The 13949-nt window shown below is 43.0% G+C and overlaps 1 protein-coding gene across 4 annotated transcripts in view, besides 3 other annotated features; it reads left to right on the plus strand.

Moving 5' to 3' along the window:
- DRAM1 (DNA damage regulated autophagy modulator 1) overlaps positions 1-6565 on the plus strand; it is a 46033-nt gene extending 39468 nt beyond the window's left edge. For 3 of the 4 annotated variants that reach the window (NM_018370.3, XM_005269005.3, XM_047429098.1), the window contains 2 exons: positions 3062-3154; positions 4169-6565. In NM_018370.3, the coding sequence (NP_060840.2) occupies positions 3062-3154; positions 4169-4213 (138 nt within the window). In that variant the 3' untranslated portion in view covers positions 4214-6565. The remainder of the gene's footprint in view (positions 1-3061; positions 3155-4168) is intronic. The other variant, XM_005269004.3, reaches the window with a different exon arrangement.
- Positions 6297-7496: an enhancer, noted in NCBI's record as "BRD4-independent group 4 enhancer chr12:102317122-102318321 (GRCh37/hg19 assembly coordinates)". NCBI's record gives its function as "activates an origin of replication core promoter dependent on BRD2, P300/CBP, MED14 and CDK7 cofactors, and independent of BRD4, by STARR-seq in HCT116 cells {active_cell/tissue: HCT116}" and the evidence as "EXISTENCE:reporter gene assay evidence [ECO:0000049][PMID:35650434]".
- Positions 13345-13394: a silencer, noted in NCBI's record as "silent region_4774". NCBI's record gives its function as "represses an Ori minimal core promoter by ATAC-STARR-seq in GM12878 lymphoblastoid cells {active_cell/tissue: GM12878}" and the evidence as "EXISTENCE:reporter gene assay evidence [ECO:0000049][PMID:35858748]".
- Positions 13605-13684: an enhancer, noted in NCBI's record as "active region_6871". NCBI's record gives its function as "activates an Ori minimal core promoter by ATAC-STARR-seq in GM12878 lymphoblastoid cells {active_cell/tissue: GM12878}" and the evidence as "EXISTENCE:reporter gene assay evidence [ECO:0000049][PMID:35858748]".

The following is a 13949-nucleotide window of genomic DNA, read 5'->3' on the forward strand; positions in this document are numbered from 1 at the left end:
ATGGCATATGCAGCTGAATAGCCTTTAGGAATGAAGTCCCTCAATTTGGGCAATAAGGGAGTCAGTGATGTTTGTCAAAAAGTAGTTTCAGTAAAACGCCGAGGTTAGAAGCCAATGGCAAGAAGTTAAATAGTGAGAGGGATGGTTCTTTCATTCAGCTATCAACCAAATGTTTATTGAGTCCTGTTCTGGACTGGAGGTAAGAGGTAAAGGAGGAACACCAGGGTGGCTAGAGGAGACAGCAGGATTTCCCAATATGGAGAACTCTGGCAGGTAATGGAAGCCTGCCAAGACAAGAGAGAGACAGAAGATGGTGAGGAAGAGAATGATCCAGACAGGAGATCAAAAAGTGCTTCTTGGCCGGGTGCGGTGGCTCAGGCCTGTAATTCCAACACTTTGGGAGGCCAAGGCGGGTGGATCACTTGAGGCTAGAGTTCAAAACTAGCCTGGCCAATATGGCGAAACCCTGTCTGTACTAAAAAAAAAAAAAATTTTTGGTGTAGTGGCACACACCTGTAGTCCCAGCTACTTGGGAGGCTGAGGCAGGAGAATTGCTTGTACCCAGGAGTTGGAGAGCTGGAGGCTGCAATGAGCCGAGATCATGCCAATGCACTCCAGCCTGTGCAACAAGAGTGAGACTCCATCTCAAAAAAAAAAAAAAAAGCCTTCTTTAAAATCTAACCTTAAAATGGTCAAATTCGTCAATAGGTTAGACCTAGGCAAAAGGCAGGTTTTTTTCTTTCTTATATATGGGGAATTAGCCCCATCATGCGAAGGGGGTTCAGTTCCTCTTTCCGTTGGAGAGAACCTCTTTCTGAAAGTGAGACCGCATAGCGGAGCAGTTCAGGTGTACTTTACTTTTCAGCCACTCGGGGGAGACCTTCTATCACAAACCCGCTGCTGGGAAGGGCTTATCGAAGTATATTCCCAGGCAGTTAAAAATCTGTTATATTCCACTTTCTATCTTAAAAATGTGAAAAGCACATGGTTTTCTATTCACTCCATAAATGACTGCGCCACTCTTGCATTTCCTTCTGTTCCTAATATCAAAGGATGTAAAAAAATTTCCCTTTACATTAATTCACTGAATAATCATTTAGGTACTGCCTCAAACTTCTGTGTAGTGCTTTACAGCTTTCACAGCACATTTATATGCAGTGACTTACTTGGTAGGGGGAGGTGAGAATTATAATGTCACTGTCTCATTTCACATAGCAAGGATATTAGGGCTTTGCCTGCATTCAGGACTCTTGGTTCCATGTACTTTCACTAATATCATGCTTAAGAAATTCCCCCCAAAGTTCTGCCTTTATTTTTAGAAGCCATCTTCCTTGTTCAGGGATGATACGGGATGTGGCAGGTCCCCTGGTACTGGTACCAGAAGGAGGAAGCCTCTGTTCTGTATCTCCTACTGTAGGCTGGTCAGGTCCTCCTCGGTGTGACCTAGCATGAAAACAGTGGGTGAGTGTGACCATGACAAGGAGAGTGAAGAGTGACGCTCGGAGGGCTTGGTGTGCCTCCACTCGATCTGTCTGGATGAAAACAGGATCAAAGAAAACAACTGTCACCATGGAGCTGCCCTGTGATCCAGCACATTTACTTACCCTTGTAGCCTACAGCAGTTTGGGGTAGAAGAGCAGTGGGCTCAGCCCTCAACAGCACATGCCAAGGGCAGAGCAGCCCATGTATGCAGCTTCAGAAGGCATGGGGGTGTAGGGAGTTAGGGGTAGTTGCTCATTTCAGCAGAGCAGAAAGTGACGTAGGAAATCAGAGGGGGCACACTGACAGTCCCCAGGCCTCATTTGGCATGTGAGCTAACATCAGAATGCAGACATGCATATTTGACTCAGAGTTTTATTTATTTTTATTTTATTATTATTATTATTATTTTTGAGACAGAGTCTTGCTCTGTCACCCAGGTTGGAGTAGAGTGACGCAATCATGGTTCACTGCAACCTCTATCCCCCAGGCTCAAGTGATCCTCCCAGTTCAGCCTCCCAAGTAGCTGGGACTGCAGGCGCAGGCCACCCCACCCAGCTAATTTTTTTTTGTCTCGTTATGTTGCCCAGGCTGGTCTCAAACTCCTGGGCTCAAGTGATCCTCCTGCCTCAGCCTTCCAAAGTGCTGAGATTACAGGTGTGAGCCATTGCAACAGAGTTTTAAAATTAGTTTCCAGCACTGAAAAATCAGGAGATATCACACACAGACACATCCACAGACACACAGACACACACACGCACACACACACACACACACACGGTTTTGTTTTTTTAAACCCCTTTGAAAGCAACACTAGTGTATTATTTTCCCATGGAATTGAGCTGATGAGGCGTGGGCTCCCTAACTTCCCTCTCTTTTCACAACCATCAGTTTTATTTATTATTGTTAATTTTCTGGCCTCCATAGGCAACTGAGTTTGGAACATCTGATTGAAGCCATTCTCCTTGGCTTCCATTCTCCCATTCTTGCCTCCAAGAAGATATACAGTTAACATGTGGATGTCCATTATTAGCATTTTCTTTGTAGCTGTATTTACCTTGGGATGTTAAGCAGAACTATTTCCTGAATGATCATTTCTATATAAACAGGGAAACACGAAACCTAGGGGACTAGTTGGCCAAGTTCATCTAGATGTGTACACACTTTCTTTGGAACAACTGCGAGAGTGCTTGTTAAGCATAGCCTTACACTTAGGGATTCTCAGCAGAGCGAGACCAAGTCATGCCTTGTATGGAAATTTCTTTCTTCTGTTGAGTCCAAATTTGCTTCCCAGTCTCAGCCATTTTGCAGTCCTTAGTCTACCTTTTGAAGTGACAAACTAAATCTTAAAACAAGAGTTTGTGCGAGCCAGAAAGAACTTTGGAATACCTGCCTTCGCATTCTCAGTGGGCAGGTGCCCTGACACTTAGTAACGTGGTTGTGCTTACCGTATATCCTCAAAGTTCTGACTTATGCTCACTGGACAGCTTTTTCCTTTGGTTGAAACTCCTCATTGTATTTCAGTATGTACATTAAAGTGAGTCTTTTTCGGCTAAATTCTGTTTCTTTATTATTGCATTAGGATTATGTATATCACGTAGTGAGTGCGATCTGTGAATGGACAGTGGCCTTTGGTTTTATTTTCTACTTCCTAACTTTCATCCAAGATTTCCAGGTAGGTGTTTATCAATTCAAATGTTTTAAATTGCGGACAATTAGGATTAGTAAAAATTTGCAGAAGACATTTTGCATTTTTAAAAAGAGCACTTTCTTTTTTTTTTTTTTTTTTTGAGACGGAGTCTCGCTCTGTCGCCCAGGCCGGACTGCGGACTGCAGTGGCGCAATCTCGGCTCACTGCAAAAAGAGCACTTTCTTTTTATCCTTAATGTGTTTGAGAAAAATCTGTAAGGATTGTGCAACTTCATGTGTTAGCTTATTCCCAATGGGAGGCATCTTTAATAGCTCTCCCACCAATGAGATTTTCATATGTCCTCTGCTGTTTGATGTTAATAGTCATGTATCCTGGTTGTTTTCTTTTAGGAGGTCTCACTTACTAGTTCCAAATAATACAAAGTAAATATATCTTTTTTAAAAATAAAAGTATGCCAGGTGTGGTGGTTCACATCTGTAATCCCAGCACTTTGGGAGGCCGAGGCGGGCAGATCACCTGAGGTCAGGAGTTCGAGACCAGCCTGACCAACATGGAGAAACCCCGTCTCTACTAAAAATACAAAATTAGCTGGGGGTGGTGGCACATGCCTGTATTCCCAGCTACTCAGGAGGCTGAGGCAGGAGAATCACTTGAACCCGGGAGGCGGAGGTTGTCGTGAGCTGAGATCATGCCATTGCACTCCAGCTTGGGCAACAAGAGCGAGACTCTATCTCAAAATAAATAAATAAATGAATAAATAAAAAATAAAAGTGTGTTGTTCAAAAAACATTCCCAAAGCAGATAGAAGATGGGACTATATCAGATTTGTCCACAGGAAAAATCTTACATTTTGAAACAAGTGAATTATTAGCTCAAAGGATATAGAAAGCCAAGAAAATTCTTTAGGACCTGACTCAAGCATAGCACAAACCATAGTGAGATCATTCCTTAGGTGGTGCAGAGCTGTTGGAAATGTCATTGTCAACGCTGGGATTGTTTAACTTCTTTTAAACCTTTCTCTTTCATTTTTAAAAATAGAGTGTCACCCTAAGGATATCCACAGAAATCAATGGTGATATTTGAAGAAAGAAGAATTCAGTCTCACTCAGTGAATGTCGCAGGCCATTTCTAAAAGTGCTACAGAGGACAGACAGGGTTTTGAGGCCACCCTGATTATTGGGATGCATCTGCAGCACATCCAGGACTTGAATTTCATTACGAGTTCCTAATAGTTGTATTTCTAAAGATGTGTTTCCTAGAGAATGTACAGCCTTATGACACTGTAGTGATGTTTTTATAATTTTCTAAGTAGATTTTTTTATATTAACAAATTCATATACAGAAAAAATAAGGTGTTACAAAAAATGGAGAGCTCTTATTTTTGTACAGATTCTGTCGTTTTTGTTTTATTTGTGTGAGATTTATGGAAATACACTAAATGAGTAATTCAGGTTCAGTACATTTATTACAAAGTGAAATCAGGGGATATTCATTTGTAAATTTTATTCTTAGTGAATGAACTGTATAATTTTTTTTATCAGGAGAGCACTTATAAAATTCAATTTATAAAGATCATATACCCAAATCATAAAGATTTAGTTGATACATTAACACTAAGATACTCTGATTTTTAGCCGAACTAAACAAAGTGCTTCTACTGAGAGGCCTTTATACCACCATGTACAGTAACTCTAAGTGAATACGGAAGACCTTGGTTTTGAAATTCTGCCACCTTGTTTCTCCCTGCTCATGAGGTCGCACCTTTTGCTCTTGCTGCTAATTGCCCATTCGTAGTGGGTGTAATGCCAGGTGGAATGGTTTCAACAAGTCAGGTGAAAACCATCCTTTATTGTTGCTGGCACAACTTGATATATAGTCTGACTCAGAACTGAAGCTCACATCTCAAATTCATTTCATGCCAGTAAATGTGGCAAAGAGAAGAAAGGCCCAAGAGCGAGACAAGAAGAATGGAGAAGGGGGCAGCCAAGAAGAACTTCTGGGTTCAGGGTACTGTTTATTTGCTCCTTCTCTTCATGCCTGTGGCTGGATGTCCCACAACACTATAAGAAATATAAGTCAAGCCCTTTGTGTTAAGCAAGAACTACAGACTCCATCTTTTCACCCAAATCATGAATGACCAATAAAAAGCAAGTTATTCCAGAGGAAGAAGCAGCCCTTGAAATGTTAAGGCTTAGGCTTGAAAGGTGAAGAGCAGGAATTCTCTCTTTCAAATCCTAGAGCATAAACCCATGTGTGGCCAAGTGAGATCAGCCCTCAAGGGCACATGCCAAGGGCAGAGCAGCCCATGTAGACAGCTTCGGAGGGCATGGGGGTGTAGGGAGTTCGGGGTAGCTCCTCATTAACTATTTGTTGGGTGAGTAAAGGGGTGAGGCTCAGTGGCAGGTACCTCTGCAATGACAAGCTGCCTCCCCTCTATGTGTTTAGCATATGTTATTAGAACATGTCCGACACCCCTACCGCTGCCATTTGGGCCCTTTAATAAAGCCAAGTAGAGAAATCTGGCAATAAAAGGCAAATGTAAGCATGCTTTCTTTAAGACGCATCATAAATGGTTTTCTTTAAGTGAATGGAAGAGTTTGACAGAGATACACCTTTGTAAGAAAACATTAAGAATGCTGGCTGGCTGTGGTGGCTCACACCTGTATTCCCAGCACTTTGGGAGGCCTAGGCAGGAGGATTGCTTGAGCCTGGGACTTCGAGACCAGACTGGGAAACATGGCAAAATCCCATCTCTACAACAAAAATACAAAAATTAGCCAAGTGCGGTGGTGTGCCTGTAGTCCTAGTTACTTGGGAGGCTGAGGTGGGAGAATCACCTGAGCCCAGGAGGTGGAGGCTGCAGTGAGCCATGCCAATGCACTCCAGTCTGGGCAACAGAGTGAGACCCTGTCTCAAAAATAAATAAATAAATAAATGAATAAAGAGAATGCTAATCATTTCTGGGTTCACTGCGACTCACTGTAGTGCTGGGGATCCCCCTTGTAACACTGGAACTGAAAGACAGTGATGAAAGCTATGTCAAGCATTCATTATTCTGAAGAGGAGGAGAAATGCCACATACCTTTCCCATGGGACCTGTGGTGGAATGAATCCATACTTCTGCCTCACTTCGAGCAGACTTTTGTTCTCGGCGCTCCTCACGATGGAGTTTCATGCTTCATTTTCACATCTCTCTGCACAATTAGATTGGGAGCTCCTTGAGGGCAGAGTACGTGCCTTAATCTTTATCTTTGTAATGCCACAATGAACAGAGTGCCTCCTGGTACACTGTAGGAGCTTAAGAAATACTCACTGAATGCATGAATGAATGAATGAACAAATGAAGGAATGACTAAGGATGTTTGTAGTGCTATAATATAGAATGGGATTTACTCTGCTTTACCAGTTAGTTTCATAATAAACAAATAGTCTGTATCGCCTGGTAATGTTGACTGTTTTTCTTTGTGTACTGTAAACATTTCAGTTGTTTCGGCATCACCATTCTATGACAACAATCTTCAACCTGGACAGTTACCACAGAAAATTGTTACACGGGCTAGACCAAATGGTACACCTACCTGTCTTGGCAAACTGAGAAGGCCAAAAAAATCACTCCAGACAACCATATTCAGCAGATTCCATGCGACCTCTAAACCCGGTCTTATTCGGATTTTGGTATTATTTCTAATATCCATGAACTTGCATTTCCTTGTACCTTATGGCTGAAATAGTTAAATGAAATGAAATATTTATTTTAAAATTTGTTTTTCTGTTTTTGAGATGGAGTCTCTTTCTGTTGCCCAGGCTGGAGTGCAGTGGCGCGATCTCGGCTCACTGCAACCTCTGCCTCCTGGGTTCAAGGGATTCTCCTGCCTCAGCCTCCCGAGTAGCTGGGACTACAGGCGCCCACCACCACGCCCAGCTAATTTTTTGTATTTTAGTAGAGATGGGGTTTCACTGTGTTAGCCAGGATGGTCTCAATCTCCTGACCTCATGATCTGCCTGCCTCGACCTCCCAAAGTGCTGGGACTACAGGCGTGAGCCACTGCGCCTGGCCCAGTAATTTGTTTTGCTGTTAAATTAGAAAATATCACTTGGCTACTACTATGAAGTAGATTTATCTGGGAGATGATTCCAGATCCATTTGGACTTTATAAAGGTATGATTACGATTTAAACCTTATGCTTTCTTAATTCATGTAGTTTTCCACGTGGGCACGATTGGTTCATCTTCGTAGATTCTCAAACGTTAGCATCAGAAGTTTATGTCACTCAAGATTCAGAGATGAAGAGATCAGAAATCCAACAAGAAGGAGAAAAGGGAATCAGAAATCCAACAAGAAGGAGAAAAGGGAATCAGAAATCCAACAAGAAGGGGAAAAGGGAATCTATATTGCCTCAAGTAACTGAGACATTTAGGAGTGGAACTGGCTTTATGGGGGCTGGATCTAAAAGTGCCATTAGGACTCCAACTTCTCTTTCCTCCTCTCAGCTGGCTTCATTCTCAGGCAGGCTTTCCCCTGATAGAAGTGACAGGGCATCTAGAACCCCCAGACCCACAACCTATCCACAAAAAGAGGTGGAAAGAAAGGACTTCTCAACAGTTCCAACCACAAGCCCATGAATTGTCTCCCATTGGCTGGCTTGGATCACATGCCATTGGGAGGTCTGAGGCTCTGATTGGTCAGACGTGAGTCACATGTTCACCTCTGGAGCAGGGAGGGGTCAACACCGCCGAAACTAGTGGGCTGATGGTGGCTGAAGGTTGTTTCTCAGAAGAAAAGGGTGGAAATGGGTCTCTAACAGACAAAAAGCAGCAGATTCCACTGTAGAATTAAAACCCCCTTTCCCTTCATACCCTCCCCGCCCAAAAGGCAACCTAACTCGCTTCACAGTAAACCAAAATATACTTGCTAATAACCTTTTCGAATTTGAAAGTAAATAAGCCATTTAGATAATACAAAAACCTTGTGTTAACTCCAAAGTTATGTTTATATTTTTAAAAAGTTCTTGTTTTCTTATTTAGTGTCTCTTATTTAGAATCAGTTTTCCTGATTTCTAATCAAGTGGGTCTTTTTTTTTTTCTTTTTTAACATTAACACTGAGGATTCCACAGAAATTGCATTTTATAAACCAAATTAAGTGCATCAGTGTTGTGCTGTGTTTGGGTTTCCTAACATTCCTTACATGTGGCATTGTCCCATGTTCCCATTTTTACTCAGTTGGAGACACACTAGTCTGGTGTTTGAGCCTGGAATGAGGAAAGGGGAGTGGGAGGAAGATAAGTGGTATCCCATTCTCTCCCACTGCCTGATTCTGGCAAGCCAGTAAGCCCAGCCGTCTCCCCACACACATACTCTTGGTCTGGCTCTGAATGCCCCACATTCTCCAGTCCAGAATGTCATGCATCTGCATCATGTCTGTTGCACAAGAGAGCAACCACAGCCTCAAGCCCTGGAGGAGAAGCCTCTGACTCTCCTTGGTCACTCCCAGCAGATTCATCTTCATTTTTTTTTTTTTTTTTTTTTTTTTTTTTAGACAGAGTCTCGCTCTTGTCGCCCAGGCTGGAGTGCAATGGCGTGATCTCGGCTCACAGCAACCTCTGCCTCCCGGGTTCAAGCGATTCTCCTGCCTCAGCCTCCCAAGTAGCTGGAATTACAGGCGCATGCCACCACGCCCAGCTAATTTTTGTATTTGTAGTAGAGACAGGGTTTCACCATGTTGGCCAGGCTGGTCTCAAACTCCTGACCCCAGGTGATGCACCCATCTTGGCTCCCCAAAGTGCTGGGATTACAGGCGTGAGCCACTGCGCCCGGCCCCAGATTCATCTTCTAAAATGAAGGGTAGCAGTTTTCCAGACCCATGTTGGAGGTGGCAGTGACCTCCAGAGTCCATGCTTGGAAAATGCTGAGGAAGATGTCAACAATCTGCCTTGTGGTTTAAGACGGGGTGGCGTGGGGTGCCTGGAAAGCCTGTGGTTTAGGTAGTTCCTCAGCAAGGAGCACTGCTCTGTGCCCCACCATCCTCAAGGCCAGTTCCACCTCTGGACGACTCAGTTACATGAGCTGATAAAGTCTCTAACTTCAATAAACTGGAGTTAGACTTCAGATGATTTTACCTGTAAGAGTCCTGACTGATAATGGATACACAAGAGTTCCCCTAATATGAAAATACAGTAAACAACTATCATCTAGAGTCATTTTTATTTCATTTTTTTCTTTTGCATTTTTTTTTCAGTACAGACTTGCCTTCACAGGAAAGATCATTTTTATATAAGTGGATTCAGCTGCCCCCACTCACAACCCTCACCCCCTGAACCATTTATTTCAAAAAATTTGAGTAATATTTTCACAATTCAAAACTCAAAACAATATGAAAAGGTATACTGTGAAAAGCCTTTTTGCTTTTCCCTACCTGCATTTACTCAATTCACTCTCTCCTTGCAGATATCCACTTTTTTTTTTTTTTTTTTTTTTTTAACGACAGAGCCTTGCTCTGTCGCCCAGGCTGAAGTGGAGTAGCATGATCTCAGCTCACTGCAACCTATGCCTCCTGGGTTCAAGCAGTTCTCCCTGCCTCAGCTTCCCAAGTAGCTGGTATTACAGGTGCCCACCACCACACCCAGCTAACTTTTGTATTTTAGTTGAGACAGGGTTTCACCATGTTGGTCAACTCCTGACCTCAAGTGATCCGCCTGCCTTGGCCTCCCAAAGTGCTGAGATTACAGGTGTGAGCCACTGTGCTCAGCCTAGGTATCCACTTTTTATCAGATTTTTATGAAAATACAAGCCAAAACAAATATTTTAACGTTTTCCTTTTCATTTTCACCCCAAATTAGTATACTGTAAGAACAGTTTTGAGCCTTACTTTTTTGACATAGCAATGTATCTTGGAGATGTTTCCTTTATCAATACATAGAGATCTCCCTCATTTTTAAGGTTAATTTGCTTTGTTTTATACCTTACAGTATTCCATTGTATGGCTGTGCCATCATTTATTTAGCAAGTTCCCTATCTGATGAGCAATTATGTGGTTTCCAAATTTTTGCAATTACAAGTAGATGACCTTGTACATACATCATATCACACATGTGCAAGGAAATCTCTAGGACAAATTCCAGTGAGTGGGATGTTGGAAACTTCATCTGTTATTTTGCAAATGTTATCTTGCCTTTAGAACTTTTTTACTTGAATATTTTTGTTAGGAACCTCTTTTTCTTTTTTGTTTCTTTCTTTTTTTTTTTTTTTAAAGGCTGGTCAAGTGCAGCAGTGAGAGTGGAGAAGGAAGAAAAAAATCTGTAACTGGGCTGGGCATGGTGGCTCACGCGTGTGATCCCAACATTTTGGGAGGCTGAGGCGGGTAGATCATTTGAGTCTAGGAGTTCAAGACCAGCCTAAGTAACATAGCAAGACCCCATCTCTACAAAAAAATTTAAAAAATTAGCCAAGAATGGTGGTGCAAGCTGTGGTCTCAGCTACTCAGGAGGCAAGAGGGGGGTATCGCTTGAGCCTGGGGAGGCAGAGGTTGCAGTGAGCAGAGATCGTGCCACTGCACTCCAATCTAGGCTATAGAACGAGACTTTGTCTCAAAGAAAACTAAACTAAAATAAATAAATCTGTAACTGGTTGCGATCAATTAGTTGTAAACACCACTGCACTCGGACAAGCCAGGAATCTTTGTGATTACACACATTTTCTTCTAACCTGAGGATGCTGAATATAAGTTCATGTTTCCTTGGTGACTCAGTCATCCATGACTGTAGATCAGGTGCAAATGTGGATTTTGCAGTAGATGGTGTGGGACAGAGGCCTGCCAACTTGGTCACGGGTCTTCTACACACACCTCTTCTGTTCCCTCTTTTATGTAACCACCTACTGCAGGGAATGCAAGGCTGTGTGCTCCTCTTTCTGCTGACAGCAGAACTCACCTATCTTCTGCCTCCTACCCCAACCCGGACATGTCTTCTTTTTATGGGCAAGAGTGTCTCCAGTTCACTTGGGTTTTTCATTATGATCTTGCAAACTTTTGCAATTAGTTGCAAAAGTTTTGTCAATGCCTCTTCCAGTTTGTACTCACTTCCTTTTTGGTATCTCGCTGAAGTCCTGTTACTTGTCTTACACTTCTTCCCTATCTTTTGAGAGGATGTATTTTTGTTGTTGTTGTTGTTGTTTTGTTTGTTTGTTTTAAATTTTGAGATGGAGTCTCGCTCTGTCACCAGGCTAAAGTGCAGTGGTGCGAGCTTGGCTCACTGCAACTTCGCCTCTCGGGTTCAAGTGATTCTCCTGCCTGAGCCTCCCGAGTAGCTGGGACGACAGGCGTGTGCCACCACGCCCAGCTAAGCTTTATATTTTTAGTAGAGACGGGGTTTCATCATGTTGGCTAGGATGGTCTTGATCTCTTGACCTCATGGTCCGCCCACTTCGGCCTCCCAAAGTGCTAGGATTACAGGCGTGAGCGACCATGCCCAGCTGGAGACGATTGTATTTTTACAGACATCAACAATCAAGCACAATATTCTCTCCTCTCTGGCAAAGTGATCCAGGACAGAACACCAGGGGCAACCCACAGACCTTTTGATCCTCCCTGACCTTGTAGCTTGGTGGTTACTGCAGAATGACTCAATGAGTGGGGGACACCAGCAATTCAGTAGTCAGAGAGAGAGAGAGAGAGAGAGAGGAAAGAAACTTTACCTTTGAGAAACTTAAAAATTGACTTGGAAATAATCAGCTTTATGTTTGCCTAAATGTATCCTTTATGTCATTTGGAAAAAGAAAATATTATTTGGAATTACCTATGGGGAGGCATCATAATTTTTTCAGTACCAGGTATTCAGGGACTTTCACCTAAAAACTAAGGATATTTCTTCATCTGCTTACATGATCACTTATGTTCTGTTAATACTGATTATTTCCTATATCACAGACACTGTAAGGAGGGCGTTTCCTCATAGTTAACCCTATTTTATTCATGAGGAAATTAAGATGTAGCGAGGTTGTCACCAGATACCAAATGATGGGGCTAGAACCAAACCCAGGACTGTGACTCCTACGGTTAACCTTTGCCATGCTGACAGTGTGATTCCCAGTCACTGCCTTAGGAGTATGAATTAATTTGTCAGCTTTTCTAGGGTTATATAATATAAGGCCTTGAGAAATGAAACCCTTAAGCTGGCAAGTTTAGAAAAATGGGTGAAATGTTTGGATTGCCACTTCAAAACGGCAGGTCCTGGTTGAAGTCTGGGCATCTAAGAATTGTGGGGGTGGGAGCAGGTGATAGGAATCAGGAGTAGAAACAGTAAGAGAGGGTTTGTATGATACACCTGGTCTTTGGTGGGAATGGGGATCAGTTCTTGTATGAGTCAGTTCTCACGCTGCTAATAAAGACGTACCAGAGACTGGGTAATTTATAAAGAAAAGAGCTTTAATTGGCTTACAGTTTCACATGGCTAGGGAGGCCTCAGGAAACTTATAATCACGGCGAAAGGGGAAGCAAACACATCCTTCTTCACATGGTGGCAGGAGAGAGAATGAGAGCCGAGCAAAGGGGGGGATGCCCCTTATAAAACCCCCACATCTCGTGTGAACTCAGTATCACAAGAACAGTATGGGGGAAACCGCCCTCATGATTCAATTATCTCCACCTGGGCCCCCCTTGACACGTGGGGATTATTACAATTCAAGATGAGATTTTAGGTGGGGACATAGCCAAGCCATATCAGTTCTCCTGCAACCACCACAGCCTGAGGAGGAGCACTGAAGAGGCCAAGGATTCCACTGCGCAGTGAGACAGGGTGCAGCAGGCTTTCAGTACGATTCAGGCTCTGGTGGCTGTGAGGTGTGGGTTCTTATGACTCTCAACTCCTGGTATCTTTTGCTTCTGGATGGTGCGGTAAGAGGGACTGGGGGTTGTCGTCCGTCTGTCTGGACTTCCCAAAGGAGAAGTCATGGTGAGGCCCAGGGAAAGGACCATCTAGGCTATCACAGGGCTGGGTAAAAGAAGTCCTCAGTGCTCACTTTTTAAAAAAGTTATTTTAATTTATTACTATTATCATTTTATTATTATGTTTGAACACTCTTGGTGACCATTATTATTACTTTACTGTGGTAAAATATAACATAAATTTTATCATCTTGGTGATTTTTTTTTTTTGAGACAGATCTCACTCTGCCACCCAGACTGGAGTGCAGTGGTGTGATCTTGGCTCACTGCAGCCTCAACCTCTGGGCTCAAGTGATCCTCCCACCTCAGCCTCCCAAGTAGCTGGGACTACAGGTGTGCACCACCGTGCTTGGCTAATTTTTGTATTTTTTGTAGCGATAGGGTCTCACTATGTTGCCTAGGCTGGCCTCAAACTCCTGGACTCAAGAGATCCTTTTGTCTGGGCCTCCCAAAGTGTTAGGATTATAGGCGTGAGCCACCACCACGCACGCCTGGCCGTCGTAGCCATTTTTAAGTGTGCAGTTCAGTGGTTTTGAATACATTCATAATGTTGTGCAACCATCACCACCATCCATCTCCAGAACCCTCTTCATCTTGTAAAACTGAAACTCTGTGCCCATTGAACAATAACTCCTGATTCCCTCTTGCCCCAGCCCCTGGCAACCATTATTCTACTTTCTGGCTCTATGATTTTGACTATTCTAGATACCTCATATAAGTGGAATCATACAGCATTTCTCTTTTTGTGACTGGCTTATTTCATTTAGCGTAATGTCTCAGCACCATCCATGTTGTAGCATGTGTTGGAATTTTTTCCATATTAAGGCTTAGTAAGATTCCATTGTACATTTATACCCACTTTGTTTACCAATCATCTGTTG

This window comes from Homo sapiens, chromosome 12 (assembly GCF_000001405.40).
Source record: "Homo sapiens chromosome 12, GRCh38.p14 Primary Assembly".
NCBI lineage: Eukaryota > Metazoa > Chordata > Mammalia > Primates > Hominidae > Homo > Homo sapiens.